Source organism: Homo sapiens, chromosome 8 (assembly GCF_000001405.40).
Source record: "Homo sapiens chromosome 8, GRCh38.p14 Primary Assembly".
In the NCBI taxonomy this organism is placed as follows: Eukaryota; Metazoa; Chordata; class Mammalia; order Primates; family Hominidae; genus Homo; species Homo sapiens.
The window spans coordinates 115,507,585-115,521,465 of NC_000008.11; the positions used below are offsets into that span (position 1 = coordinate 115,507,585).

General features: G+C 32.6%; 1 protein-coding gene and 1 long non-coding RNA gene across 5 annotated transcripts in view; one reads left to right on the top strand and one right to left on the bottom strand.

The window, feature by feature from the left end:
• The window catches only part of TRPS1 (transcriptional repressor GATA binding 1), a 260,480-nt gene that overhangs the window by 99,089 nt on the left and 147,510 nt on the right, over positions 1–13,881 (bottom strand). The gene's annotated exons all lie outside the window — the stretch shown is intronic.
• Positions 2,019–3,741, top strand: TRPS1-AS1 (TRPS1 antisense RNA 1). Its single transcript, NR_186605.1, has 2 exons — positions 2,019–2,142; positions 3,465–3,741. It is a non-coding gene; the product is annotated as a TRPS1 antisense RNA 1 (long non-coding RNA).

The following is a 13,881-nucleotide window of genomic DNA, read 5'->3' on the forward strand; positions in this document are numbered from 1 at the left end:
CCAAAGTCTCTCGTCACCCATACAAAGCTTCACACAGTACAAAAATCTATAAAACATTCCGCTAATATTACTGTCAGCTGAATGACTTTTACAGTACTATATAAAGTTGACAGATAATACATGCCAGTCCTAATTTGAGATAGACCTTTTCTTTTGGGACCTCAACCATTGAACAAGCAAACAGATTGAGAAGTAACATTTATTACAACACATAAATCATTTTCTTACAACTATTATATAGGTCTGGCCCGAGGGTGAAGCTTCTGCCTAGGCTGAGAATCCTAATGTACTGCTTAAGTCACTAAATTGTACTGTCATTGCATGATTGGTGTGCAGAGAAGAGCTAATCTAGCTTTTCAGAAACAAGTTCTTATCAAGATAATTTTTGTTCTTTGTTCCTTGAAAAAAATGCTAACAACTTGCCTGTCTAAAATAAAAAAGCAGAACATAAAATAAAAAATCAGAACATTGGTGACTCTTGAATAGTAATGACCACCTTAACATGTTTATTTAAATTAAGCCAATGTGCCCAGTTCATGTAGAAATTTAGTTCATGTAGAAATTAGTGCATGTTCAAAATGAGAACAAAATCTGTGTTTACTACAAAGATATACAAAGAACTTTTCACTCTGAAGATAAAACTTGATGTATATCACAAATATAATGGAATCAATATTGATGGCACGAACTTTCCTTTGAGAAATAAACGCCATTTTAAAGATTGAACAAAGAATATTAATAGAGAATCATCATACACAGCTTCAAGAATTTCGCCATTCTTTTTAGAGTTGACTGAAATAAAAATTCTCTACATTTCCTGTCAAATATTGTCGTAGTACTGTCCTCAGCCGAGGAAACGAATGTGCACTTCATGATACAGTAAATTTCTCTAATGCTCCTCTAATAGCACCATGTTGGAAACACATGAGTTACCTAACATGGTGAGCTTATATTTTATATCAGTTTGCTTTCCTCGATCATCTGATCATCTTGGCCTCCGTGGAGTCTTCTAATTGCATTTAGTTCTGTTCAGTTCTGCTTGAGGATAATCCAAAGGATGTCTGTTTTTCATCAGGTAACGACCATTAAATTTGGCTGCATTTCCTTCTAAATCTTGTTGAATGGCATAAGAAACAGAAGCTAGAAAACCTTTCTCTTGTAACTTTGCTATGGTTTCTGAACCTAGACCTTTCTAGAATTTTTGCTCACTACTGCAAAACTCTGAGGCCAGATCCTTTTGGAAGTGAGTCTAAATGGTCTCTAAACTTTGATCTACTTTCCCTGGGGGTACTTAAGACTTTGGGGCATCTTTCTGCATACCCTGGAAACATTTGGACTCTATGTAAAGTTGCCAGATAATTTCTAAAATGTTTTGAATTGTGAGTTTATGTTTAGGCAGCATTTGGGGCTTTCCTTCTCTTGAATTAAACAAACATCTTGGCCAATCAAATACTCTCCCTTAAAAAAAATCTTAAAATTCCTCTCTGTGGCTCCTTATACTGTATTAGTGTGTAAGGCTGGAAAGAAATGTGTCAGATCATTTCTTTTTTCCTGTATGACAACAACCTAGAAAAGTAATGATAAATGGAGTCTACAAGGTGTTTTCCCTGAAGCCGAACTCCTTATCTCTTTAAAGAGGTATAAGAGTTCCTATTGGAGCAGGACCTATTCCAGGCAAAGCTGGGAATCACACTAGGCTTCTATTTATTCATTTAATCATCATTTATGGAACATCTGTTAAGTGCTAGGAATGTTATTAAGTGTTGAGGCTATGGAGACAGATAAAAAATAAATACCTGTCATTAATGAACTCACTGCCAAGTGTGGGGAAGGGTTTGGTGAATATCTCAGGAATAATCAGTGAGTGTGGCACATGGCAGGTGAAATATGTTAGTTTAGGCCAAATATTAAACCTAAAGAATCCAATTCAATTTTTGTTGGTATTGTCAATTTTCTAATCATCTGCAATGCAGTAAATGGTTCCTTCAAGACTAATTAATGTTCTTATCATTTTACAGAAAAGAAAAGTAACCAAACCAGAATTTGCACTAGGGAAGTTTGAAAGAAGTTGATCCATTTTGAGAAGAGAGTTACAGAAAACAAATAAGGAACCCATTGACGTCCTAGTAGGCTGAGCTCGACGTGAGTGATTCTTCGTTCTTTGGATTCTCTCTCACTCAATATCCAGTGTCTCATGGTGCCTTAGGAATTTTCCTTCCATCTGTGTTTTATCTTTGCCTTTATCTCCAATGCCTAGGCCACCACTCTGCTGTCCTGCCTGCTGTAGCTTTACCCTGGAAGTACTCATTCTTCAACAGGTTTCCAGAGGTCTCTTCCCGCTGACCTCCACCTTTCCTGCCAATATTGCAGTAGGATTAACCTGCATGAAACATTTTTCTCATTTGTAAACATCAATGGTTGAACCCTGATTAACAAGGAAAATTCAATTTCTTAGCTTTGTATTCAAGATTTTTACTTCCCTGACTCCAATTCTATTTCCTAAATGGAAAAATCTCCTGGATTCAAATTAGCCTCTGTGCATCCTCCTCCAGCATCCACATTTTACCCAGTACATCCCACTTATCTTAGGCTCAATTCAATCGTACATATCCTAAGTAACAGCAAACCAACCTGTGTCATACCCTTTGCTTTATTTTTAAAGAAACACTGGATCTGTATAGCCATATAAACATATATTCCAGACTTGGCTGGTTATGGACTTATCCTTTATAATGCATTTTCAGTGGCCAAAGAGCCTTTTAAGAGTTCTTAAAATTGTGCAGTTGCAGACACTGAACTGATTGATCACTCATGCCAGGGCTCAGGTCATCCTTCTATAATTCAGGCTTTACTCCAAAAACTATTAATCTGTTCTTCCTAAGCTATAAATCTTAAGCTATCTATTAATAAAAGTCAGTTCTCTGGGGCTTCGTCTGTTAGACCCCCAAAAGAACATCGAACTTCTAACAATGACACTGTTTCTCAATCGTCAATTTCTTATTGAAAGAGATTTTCATTAAGATTGAAAATCTTTGGCATTGAGTCATGTTTCATCTTTGACCTTGGCTTTTCCCAATGTATTTCACATCCTGAAAATAAGCACCTTCTTTTACTTTTTTGCACAGCTCAACAAGTCAATTTGGAATTCAACACAGATGTCACGTTGCTTTATTTGTCAATATTAGATGATTCTTCTTGCCATACTGAAGCGTTTTGTGGAAGGCTATCTATCCTTTATCTCCATTTTGAATGCCAAGGTTATCAGAATTAGTTCCAGACACAGATATTAGAAAGCTTCATTCAACTGAAGAAATAAATGTAAAGAATTTTCAGGATGTAGTAAAGCAATACTTCATCACTAATTCATGCGCTTGTCTCAAGGACTATTAGTCTTATAGTAGTTTGTTTTACTTTTTTTGTTCTTTACAGTTATCCTTTATCAAACTATTTGGTTTTCCTTTTAGGTCACTTCTTCCACAGAGTATACACGTCAAGAACTTAAAAAGCATTAACTTCTGCCAGATATGAAATTATTGTCTTTCTGGTGGAGAAAAGGAGCCACAGAGAGGTTCTAGGTAAAACATGGACTTTTGTCTCTTTTAATGTGGATTATCTGCTAGAATAAAATTTAGTAGATGTCTATAAATTTTCTACATTACTAGAATGCTGTTCAATCAGATATTGTTCAAAATAAATCATACTGCTGCTGAGAAATATTTTTCTCAGGAGACAACCTAACCAGAATGATATGTGTGCATTGTATTGGCCTTTGATCAGCAGTACTTCTTCAATTTTGTTTTGGTCCATGCAAAAATGACCAACGCTCCCTGTTATTGGGTGTCTATGTCATTCATTCTCTTTCCAGCACTGCCCTTTCTTGGTGCCCACAGCTTCAATCATTTCCTATCTTTTTCTTTCTCTTCTCCAATCTAAAATTGACTCTGGTTGCAGTATAACAAGCTATCAATTTTGGAAGTGACACCTGTGGTTCTAGTTGCCTAAAATCCCTGTGACAGAGTTGGGACCTGACAAAGACCCACAGCGACCTGACAAAGATCTGACATATTCTGGGTTTCCCCAAAGGGCAACTGACCCTTTGGTTTATATGATAAAAGTGAGAGGACAACAGTTTATTCAACTACAATAAATCTAACTTCTAGGGTGAATCGCTTGCAAGTTAAATTGCTAGTCAAGTTAAATAATAGGTGACATATCAAAAAGATGGATAAGACATATTTCTACATATAAACTATATGTGGTAGAGGACAAATGCACTCTAAAATTTAAAACTTTTATATCACATACGAAATGTATGAACATACAGCTAAATCTTAATATGAATCTTAATATGATAAACCAATGTAACATATCTAACATACGACTAAACAAAAGCTCTGTCCTTTAGAAACTATCGCATCAACGTGTTGCTACCATCCCTAAATACTAAAAAATTACCTTCATTCTCAAAAAGTGGCAAGATTTGTGGCTGTCACTAAGGGTGTGTAAGCATTTCCATTTAAAATTTTCTATTTTCAGGGTTTTATAAAAGCTATAAAAATTCTCTCCAAGCTGAAACTTGGCAAACAAGAACTCAGCATGAGGACAATTTTTTAAAAGCCTAAATTTAAAAACAGTATGTTCATGTACTTTTTTAAGCAATAAGAGGACAAAAAAGGAGAGAAGTTTTTTAGGTTTTGGTTGCCTTTTAAAAAAATCTGCATTCCTTAGGAACTAGTTTGTTTTTAAAAAAGAAAATTTGCGGACTATAAATTCAAAGCTTGGCCTTATTTCTTCAAGAATTGGACATAAATGAACATAATTTAAAATGGACCCTATCATAAAGAGAAGAAATTCATTGTTCTTAGACAACTATTTCTAGAAATAACTGTATCATTCTTCCCTCTAAAATGAATGTGAAAAATAGAAAATTATGCTTCATGGTTTTTTTTTGAGCTAAAAAATTCATGCTCATGAGTGAAAAAGTTCAATGAATCACCATAATATTTTTGGCCGGAAAATACTATGTATTTTATCTGTCTCCACCACCAACTACTATATATATATATGAATATTTTCTGTATTTGGCATTATCTATCATACTCTTAGATTTTGGTCAAAACTTACTCCATTAAAGTTTGTGTGTGCATATATTGAATTCCATAAATATATGGTCATGTAAGACTACTGCATACTTGCCTACAAAAATCTGTCTTAAATATATATCTTAATGGGATTAGTTTACTATTGCAGAAAAGACATATCAATATACATGTGAACTTTAATTACTATTTCATCTTCAAAAACATTTAACTCCTTTTTCCCAAGTATTGTTATGGGGAATGGGAATGACACAAAAATGAATAAGGCATGGGACCTGTTCTTAAGATACTCATAATCTTGTGGTGGATCTAACCACACAAAATGTAAACACTTGTACCCACACCTTCTTATAGAAACCTGTTACAAAAATATTTTCAAAAAAGATTGTTTCAGTTTGCCTATTCTCTTACTTCCATCCTTTTGGAAATATCTGAAATGTAGTCAGGCACTCATAATATTAAGTATTTGAATAGAAATTAAATTGAACTTTTGTAAATATAATGTAACTAACATGAATTCAGTTGCCTTCAATCCATGTAATAAACATGAAATACCAATGTCAACAAAATCCCAAACTGCAGCAGAAGGGAGAATGATTGGTGTTTCTTCTTGCACTATATTCCCAAGGACTTATATTTTTGGGTACCATTTTTATTTTAAGCACCATATTTGGTTCTTCCATTATTTACATCATGATCTCATTTGTGAACGTGGTATGGTTTGCAATTAGGTGCTCATACCTTAGGCTTCTTGTAAAGAAAAGAAGTAGACAAGAAGTGCCTTTTTGTGTGAGTTATGTCTGTCTTATTTCTATCCATTGTAAAGGCTTTTACTTAACAGAGCAAGGGTTAATAAATTATGGTTCCATAGACAGCCAATGTCTATGCTATAAGTATAGGTTTATTGAAAACCAGTAATACCCATTCATTTACTTATTGTGTATGGCTACTTTCATACTACAATGTCACAGTTGAGTTCAGAGATACCATGTGGCTCAAAGACTAAAACATTTACTATAGAAAAAGGTTTGTGAACACCCTGGGCAAGAAAACTATTTCTAGTTTTCTCATAGTTCCTCTTTCAAATCAGAAATCAGAGTCTCCTGATCCTCTCAACAGCACACTCCTATATTATAGGTGTCTTCTGTTGAATAGTGTCCTGTGATAGACATATATGTTTAAGTTGTATATATAAAGAGTTGTGTGAAAGAAATAAAAGTGATACATAATTATAGCTAGAGAGTCAGATTATGGTACACAAAGGCTTCTCTGTTATGACCTAGGTAACAAAAGACTATACGTACCCTTAGTGAACATAAGGAGTATCCACATGGTATCTAAGTTAAACAATGTCATTGCATCATAGTAGATTAAATATAATACACATCCTGAGACATTTTATCCAGAAATGCCTATTGCAGGACATATGTGAGTCTATTCTTCTCCCAATAACTGAGAGAATTGACTCCCTTCTCTAAGATACTCTCTTGTTTGATTTATAAGAACATTCACTTTGGAAAGAAAGAATTAAAGAAGACATGGTCCTATGTTCAAAAACTCACTATTTTTAACAGCCTATAAGCTTATGCCCCAAATCTAGTTTTAGGTGGGAGTCAGTGTAACACAATAATGAGGGGATTTCGGAGCTACGCTGAGTTGAATCCTGGCTCTGCCACTCGTCAGCTGTGTAATGTTTCATAATCACTCTATGTCTCCATTTTGATACCTGGAAAATGGGAGTAATATCACTATACCTCTTTTATTAGATAAAGGCATATATTCGTTTTATTAGATAATAACATATAATTAAATGGAGAGTCCATATTCTCTTTTCTTTCTTACCCCGTAGTCTATCCCAAGATGTTAGCACACTTAGTAGTTTTTTTAATGTATAATGAATTATTTTAAAAATTTCCTTGAATTATTAATAGAACTAAGCCTTCCATGCAAAAGATATTTTGCACAATGAAATGAGTTTACCATACTGATTCCATTTCTCATTCATACAAATTACTTTAATTTTGCAGTGAACTATTACATGACGCAATTCCAAATACTTCAATCGTTCAAATAAACTCAAGACATACCAAAAAAAACCAGCTTAATAACTAAAATTATTTCTTAGAATAGGATAAGAAATACTGTGGTTACAAGCTGTCATTAATATTCTCATGTTCAAATGTATGACTTCTACCATCACAAGATCTTTATAGTGCCATATGTCAATTCCAGTGTAGAAAAAAAGAATACATTTTGATGGTTTTTAAAAATGTTTTTCCAGTATGACAAAGACTATTACAACCTAAGACTAGAAAGGAACCTCTAGAGATGATCAAGTACATACTTAAGATAATTAAGATGGCATATACTGTGTAAGAAAAATTTGTTGAGGACTCAAGAGAAATGAAGTAACTTTCTCAGGGTCACAGATTAAGTTGGGGAGAATGATAGCTAGAAGACAAAGACATATTCAATGTCCAAATTCTTTTCGTTACTCTCCATTATCTAAATATTAATAAGATCTTCATGGAAGCAATGGAGATCTGGTTTTCTCAAAGACTAAACTGCTCTTCGGGAGTCATCCAAGCAGATTCAAAAACCTAATGCAGTAACACGAAGAAGTACAGTAAAAAAGTTAGAATTAGCTCACTATTTAATGTGGAAAGAATTTAAGAACCTGAGATTACCCAAACCTGTGCATTTTGCCATGAAATATAAATCAAATGCCAAATCTCTTTTTCCTATGATTTTAAATGTCATTAGTTTGGCATGTAGCATTAATAAAAACAGACAAATGAACGTATTTTTAAGGTAACTGACCTAAATCAGGACACAGTAAATCCACTAATAAACTTATACTTTCTAAATAAATGACTAAGTATTTCATGTTGATAAGACATTAAAAAATTTTTGGTAATTGTAAAAAGTTATATTCTAAGTGCTCTTATAATACTTAGTAATAAGCTAAAATTACATCATGTTGTGGTTTAATATTTATTAAAGTAATAAAAGAGAATATGCATAACTTAAGACCCACAGAATCTTAAGTTATCATGTAAAATATGATAAATAAGTTATCAGTGAAATATCATGTAAAATATTGACTGCTAACCTTAGCTGGGTAGATTATTAAATGGTCCTTGTCAGTTAGTACTCATTATTTTGATTTTGTTAGCAAAATTCATGACAGAGTAAAAATAATTTGGGTTCTGAGGCCATTATCTTTAGTTTGGTTTTCTCTGATTCCCTGAAAACTTTTTAAAGTATTCCCAATGATGTTGTGCAGGACAAATAAGCTTGGCAATTATCCTTTTAAAAAAATCTATAATTAAACTGAGCATACTAGAGCATTACATGAGCTACCACATATACCACTAAATCTACAGTCATTAACAAAATTGTATATAAAATGAGGGGAAAAGAAAACAAAGGCAATGAATACTCTTATTACCAATGTGTTAACAATGTTACTTTAAGACCAATTTTTAAGAAAATTATCACCGTAGGTTTTAAAAGATATCTAATTACAGAATGTATAAATCTTGCCATAGGTACTGAAATTACTTGAGCTTCCTTTGTACAAATAGCAAATGAACTAAAGTATCGTAATGAGTTTTAAATATATTTCATACTCGTCTCTACATTTTATATTGTTATATATTCTTCTAGTCAATATTTCTAAGAAATTTAAGTTAGTAACTTTTTAACCTGATGTCACACAATGTGAGTGAAAAAAATTGATATGCTTTATGAAAATCATGTTGAAATCTTTGGAAAGACTCAAAAAGCACAAGTTGCCATAACATTAATATTAGTTTGGATACGGATGATACATATATATAACTCTATAAATAATAGAAGAAAGAACTCTATCATAATAAAAACAAGTAAAACAGGATTTAAAAGTTTAACCGTTGCTTAATATCTTTCTAACCAACTATGGTAATTGCAAGGATGACACATTGGCTTGTCATTTTCATACACATTTTGTCATTTGATACTCACAGCAAACTTAGAAGTAGGCAAGGTAGTATAGTTAGTCCCATTTTGGAGTGCAGGAAGCAGAGGTTTATAGAGGTTAAAGAGTATGAATAAAGTCTCTTGAGGCTCAGACTAAAACACCGTTAAGCTTAATCCCAAACCAGTGTTCTTTTACTATATAACACTATCACTGAACAAACAGATAAAAACATAATAAAACAATCTTCTACATATTTTATAATTGTGTGAACAATTAGTAGAATTAAAAAAGTAAAGGGTAGGGAGGAAAGTCCTAATGCTCCTTATTTTTGCAAGGAGTGGTTAGTGGTTAAAAAAAAAAAAATTCCTTTTCCGGAGTCTTTGATATATACATTGCTAATGCAAGAAGTAATCTGGGGCAATTTCTTGCTTTTTAAACAAAATATATGGTTGTTCATCCAAATCTAGAATATTTTCTGCTTTGATATTCCTAACAAATTGTTTTAAAATATAAAATCTCTATCTTTCCATAATCTTCAAAGTGGAATTGCCAATCTGTACTCATTGAATTCTTATTATCATTTAGATAGATATCCTAATTACTTTCTTATACAAATCATGCAAAAGCTTCACTTTTAACAAGCCCCTGAAAAGTTTTGCATAAATACACACCTTCTCTGGAAGGTACTTAAACTAGACATGCCTCTTAAGACTATATGAAGAAAGTACAGCTATTATAAGCAGATCACGGGAGTTGGGAACTTATTCCTCATGCAATTTTTATACAACAGTTATTATTAAAATGAGAGAGAGAGAGAAAGAGAGAGAGAGACGATGGGAGACGATGCCAAAGGATGTCATAGGGGTTCTGCAGGGCTAATTAGTAACATTAAAATAACATTATAACAACAAAAATTGTTGTGAAAAGAAGTCCTATGATTCAATATGCAGAGAAAAAAAGATTAATGGTGTGAATTAATGTTATGATATACTAAAAATTATGTCTTTCTGCATCAAAGAAAATAACTTTAAAGCATAGTTGGCATCCTACCCATGTTAAAGTTTAAAGCTCCAAATTCTGATTTCCAGACTATGTAGGAGAGACCAAAAAGTCACCTGACAATCTTTCATCAATCTCAAACCTTTGTCAGTCTGACTCCAGGCTCTGTGCTCTTGATCATGACAAAGAATGGCCTTGATTGTTGCACTGTTTGACACTTTCAATCCTGGTTGACTGGGTTTGTTTGATAATTGCATTTGTGTTAATTTTGACTATTACCTAACTATGTAGTAAAACTTTTAAGAACCCATACTAAAACTGGATCCAGTAGATGTTCAGCAAGCCGCTCTGGTGTAGGAAAGGCTTCCAAACATCCACCAGTGTAGGACAGGAAATGAAGGGCCAGAGGTCATATCCCAGAAGAACTTCCACATGCCCAGCACTACACAATTCTGGTAGTAAAGAGCAACAGGCTCAATGCACAGAGCCATTAGTTAGCTAATGAAAACAAATCCAAACCTTACAGTATGTATGTAAGAAATTTGATGGGAAGTGTTTCCAAATGGAATGACAATACTATAAATTTAAATCACACACCAATAATGAGTTGTAAAGCTAAAGGAAACTATCCTATAACATCAAAAATAAAAAATACACTTTTATTATTCCAGGCTAAAGCAAAAACTATTCTCACTCTAGAAAATATTAGAAAAGTCTCATCATATGATTAGGTGATCAAAAAGCAAAAATACAAAAATGTGAGAGAAAAAGATTATAGAGATTATCAGAAAGATAATGAACACAAATATTATGCTATTTTCCTGGGTTTTCATGATAACTATGTTATTTGTTAAAATTTAAATTCCGTAATTTGCTGTGACTTATTTTCTCATTCTACACAAATATTAATTTTTGTCCTAAAGGTATATCCAAAATTATGAATTATTTTTCCTAAAGTGGAGCTTCCAAATTTGACAAGCTTTCAGTTGCACAAAATTGCATCAACCCCTGTAGATGTTAGTGTAAATGGAGAAAATTATTAGGGACAGTGGATATACTTATTAAAGTTAAAGAAACTCTGTATGGCATAGCTCCGATCACTTTAAAATAGAGGTTAGAAGAGTAAAGGTGATATTTTCTCTGCATTGCCTTTTGCCAGCGTCAAACTAAACCATCAGAAATTTAAACTTCTTCTCACACAATATCAACAGATACAAATCAAATGCTCATATACAGTCATGTGTAAAGTATGTTGGTCATGAACATCACTTGCCTTTTACAATTGTCAAGGTTATCCATCTCATGTGCTACTATGCAACACTTTCCTATGCATTTTCCTAAAGGGTAGGGACCACTTTAATATATGTGCAGTAGTTACACATGTCCAGCAACATGAAGTGATGAAAATTCCATTAAAATTTCTTTGATGTATTATCCTTATGGTAATATTTTAGAACTTTTTTTTTGCCTGCTACTTTTTCGTTTTTCTTATTAACTTATAAGTAGTATTTTCGTGGACAGTAAATTGGACAAGAAAAAAAGCAAAAAAGCAAACATGTCATTTAAAAAAATGACATTTTAGTTATAAAGGCACGCATTGTGAAAAACTAAGTAGAAACACATCCTTCAGATGAATATAACTTCTTAACAATATTATCAGAAAGGATTTACCAGCATAACTTCTCATTGTAGTCATCTTTTAAACTTAAATTTTTAATTAATTTTGAAATCCACTACGTAAATTTGAAATATGTTTCCTTTAGAAATCATGTCCCAGTTAAGGGGTTGGAATAAACTAAAATCTCATAAAAAGATTCTCTTTCAAAATAATTTATTTAGTGACTCAAAGTCCATTTCGATAGATGATCATTGGATTAAAAAAATTAAGAGCGGAATTTTAAATTATATATATTTTGTTTTTTTCCAGTGTATTTAGTACACAATAGATGTGGTGCCAACAAAAAAACTACTAAATTATTTGGTCAGAAAATACAGGATACATAAAAATATTTTCTGTATTATAACTTTAAATTCAAAAGGTTTTGTCCCATATTGTGTAAACAACATTAATAACAATATGGAAAGAAATAAAAACTAAGAAAAATAAATTAAAAAGTCTTAAGTCTGTATTTACTAAAAACATAAGATTACAGAGTGAAGTTCTATGACAGTTCAAAAGAAAAGAAGAATTAATTATATTGAATATAATGTTTTTCCAAAACTCTAAAATATAAATTGCTAAACAAAATAATCTAGAATATGCTTTTCAAGAAATGCTTTTTGTAAAATTTGTAACTATATTTTGGCAGTAACTTTGCAAAATTTATAGCTCCCTTTTAATTCCATCTAAAATATTCAATTCAGCAAAGACGGAAATAAGCATCTAGATTCTAAACACTGATTCATATACATACCTCTTCACTGTCAATGTAATCATAATTGTTTTGCAAATTCATCAACAGATGACATGGAACCACTTTAAAAAAAACAGCATTAATATATGTCCTGATTGTGATTGGCAGTTTTAATTACATGAGGTTTTTATCCTGTCAGCAGTTTCAACACAGTTATCCTTAGGTTTAAGTTCCAGGAATGCTCTGTATGCATACATACCCATACATTTTGTGCCCTAGGAGATCAGGAGAAACAGGCTAAAGAGCAATTAAAGTACAGAAAAAAGAAATAACATAAAACTGGGTATTTTCCAGGCTCATCTCACCTCATTTATCTTTCAGCTCTTCTCCCTATAACTTGCTGTAGATTCTTGGTAAAGCCATTTAACCTGTTGGGAGATGAACTAGATGACAAGTATAATCTACTCAGTAGTCAAACTTATTGTTTATGTAGGCTTTGGAAAACTAATTTTAACATGAATATTTTAAAGATGACATCTATTATTTTTATCTGTTAGCACTGCTATGAAAAATTATGCAAAACTTGGAAATTAGGCAAAAAATAAAAATGTAGGTGGCATGTTCTTTTAATATACACTAGGGACTGTTTGACAGGCTCACAAAAGGATTATTTAATTACCTAAGGGAATGTATTTGTGTTTGACTTTGCTATTTACTATTAATTAAAGTTCTTAGACTTCTGTGAAGTACATGTTAATTTTCTCCCCAAAAGAAATGATAACCTCAAAGGTTAATGTGCCATTACCTTATTGGACAGTATTAGCTTCAGAAGGTCACGTTCCTCTGATTTTCCTTTAAAGCAGTTTTTCCATCTCACTATTTTCCTTATTAATGAGTTAAATTTTTAACATATGTTTACTCTATATTTGTACAGGTGTGATGTTTCAAACCTTTTCATAACTATTCTTCGACAGTTTTGGAGGTTCCACGCTTATGCCTCCCAGAGGTGATTTACCTACTAGAAATATTTAAGCAAAGGCACACTTTTTTTTGGTCCCAGGAGTCAATTTCAAACAATAGAAGTTATCAATATTAGAACTTTACCTTCTGTAAGAGTTCTCTATTTCTCTTTCTTATCCCAACTCTATGTTTGTGTTACTATTTTCTGGTTCCTAGCCTACTTGTTTGGTTCTTCTTCTGGTGTGCACACAGCAAATAAGTTATTCCTAGTTGGTGACGGCAATGATAGTGAATCCTACTGCTGACCATTTGGTAATCTCTAACTACGATTCTCTATTATCCACTGGATGAGAGGCAACAGAGATTGTATTTTGTAGTTTCTTGTATTGATTCGTTTGTGCAAGAACATATTTCATACACAGGAAAAAAAAAGAGAAGAAAAATTTCACATTTGAAGCAGTGAGTTTTTGTGTTTGTTTACTCTTGACCCAAGGCTGAGGTTGAAGAA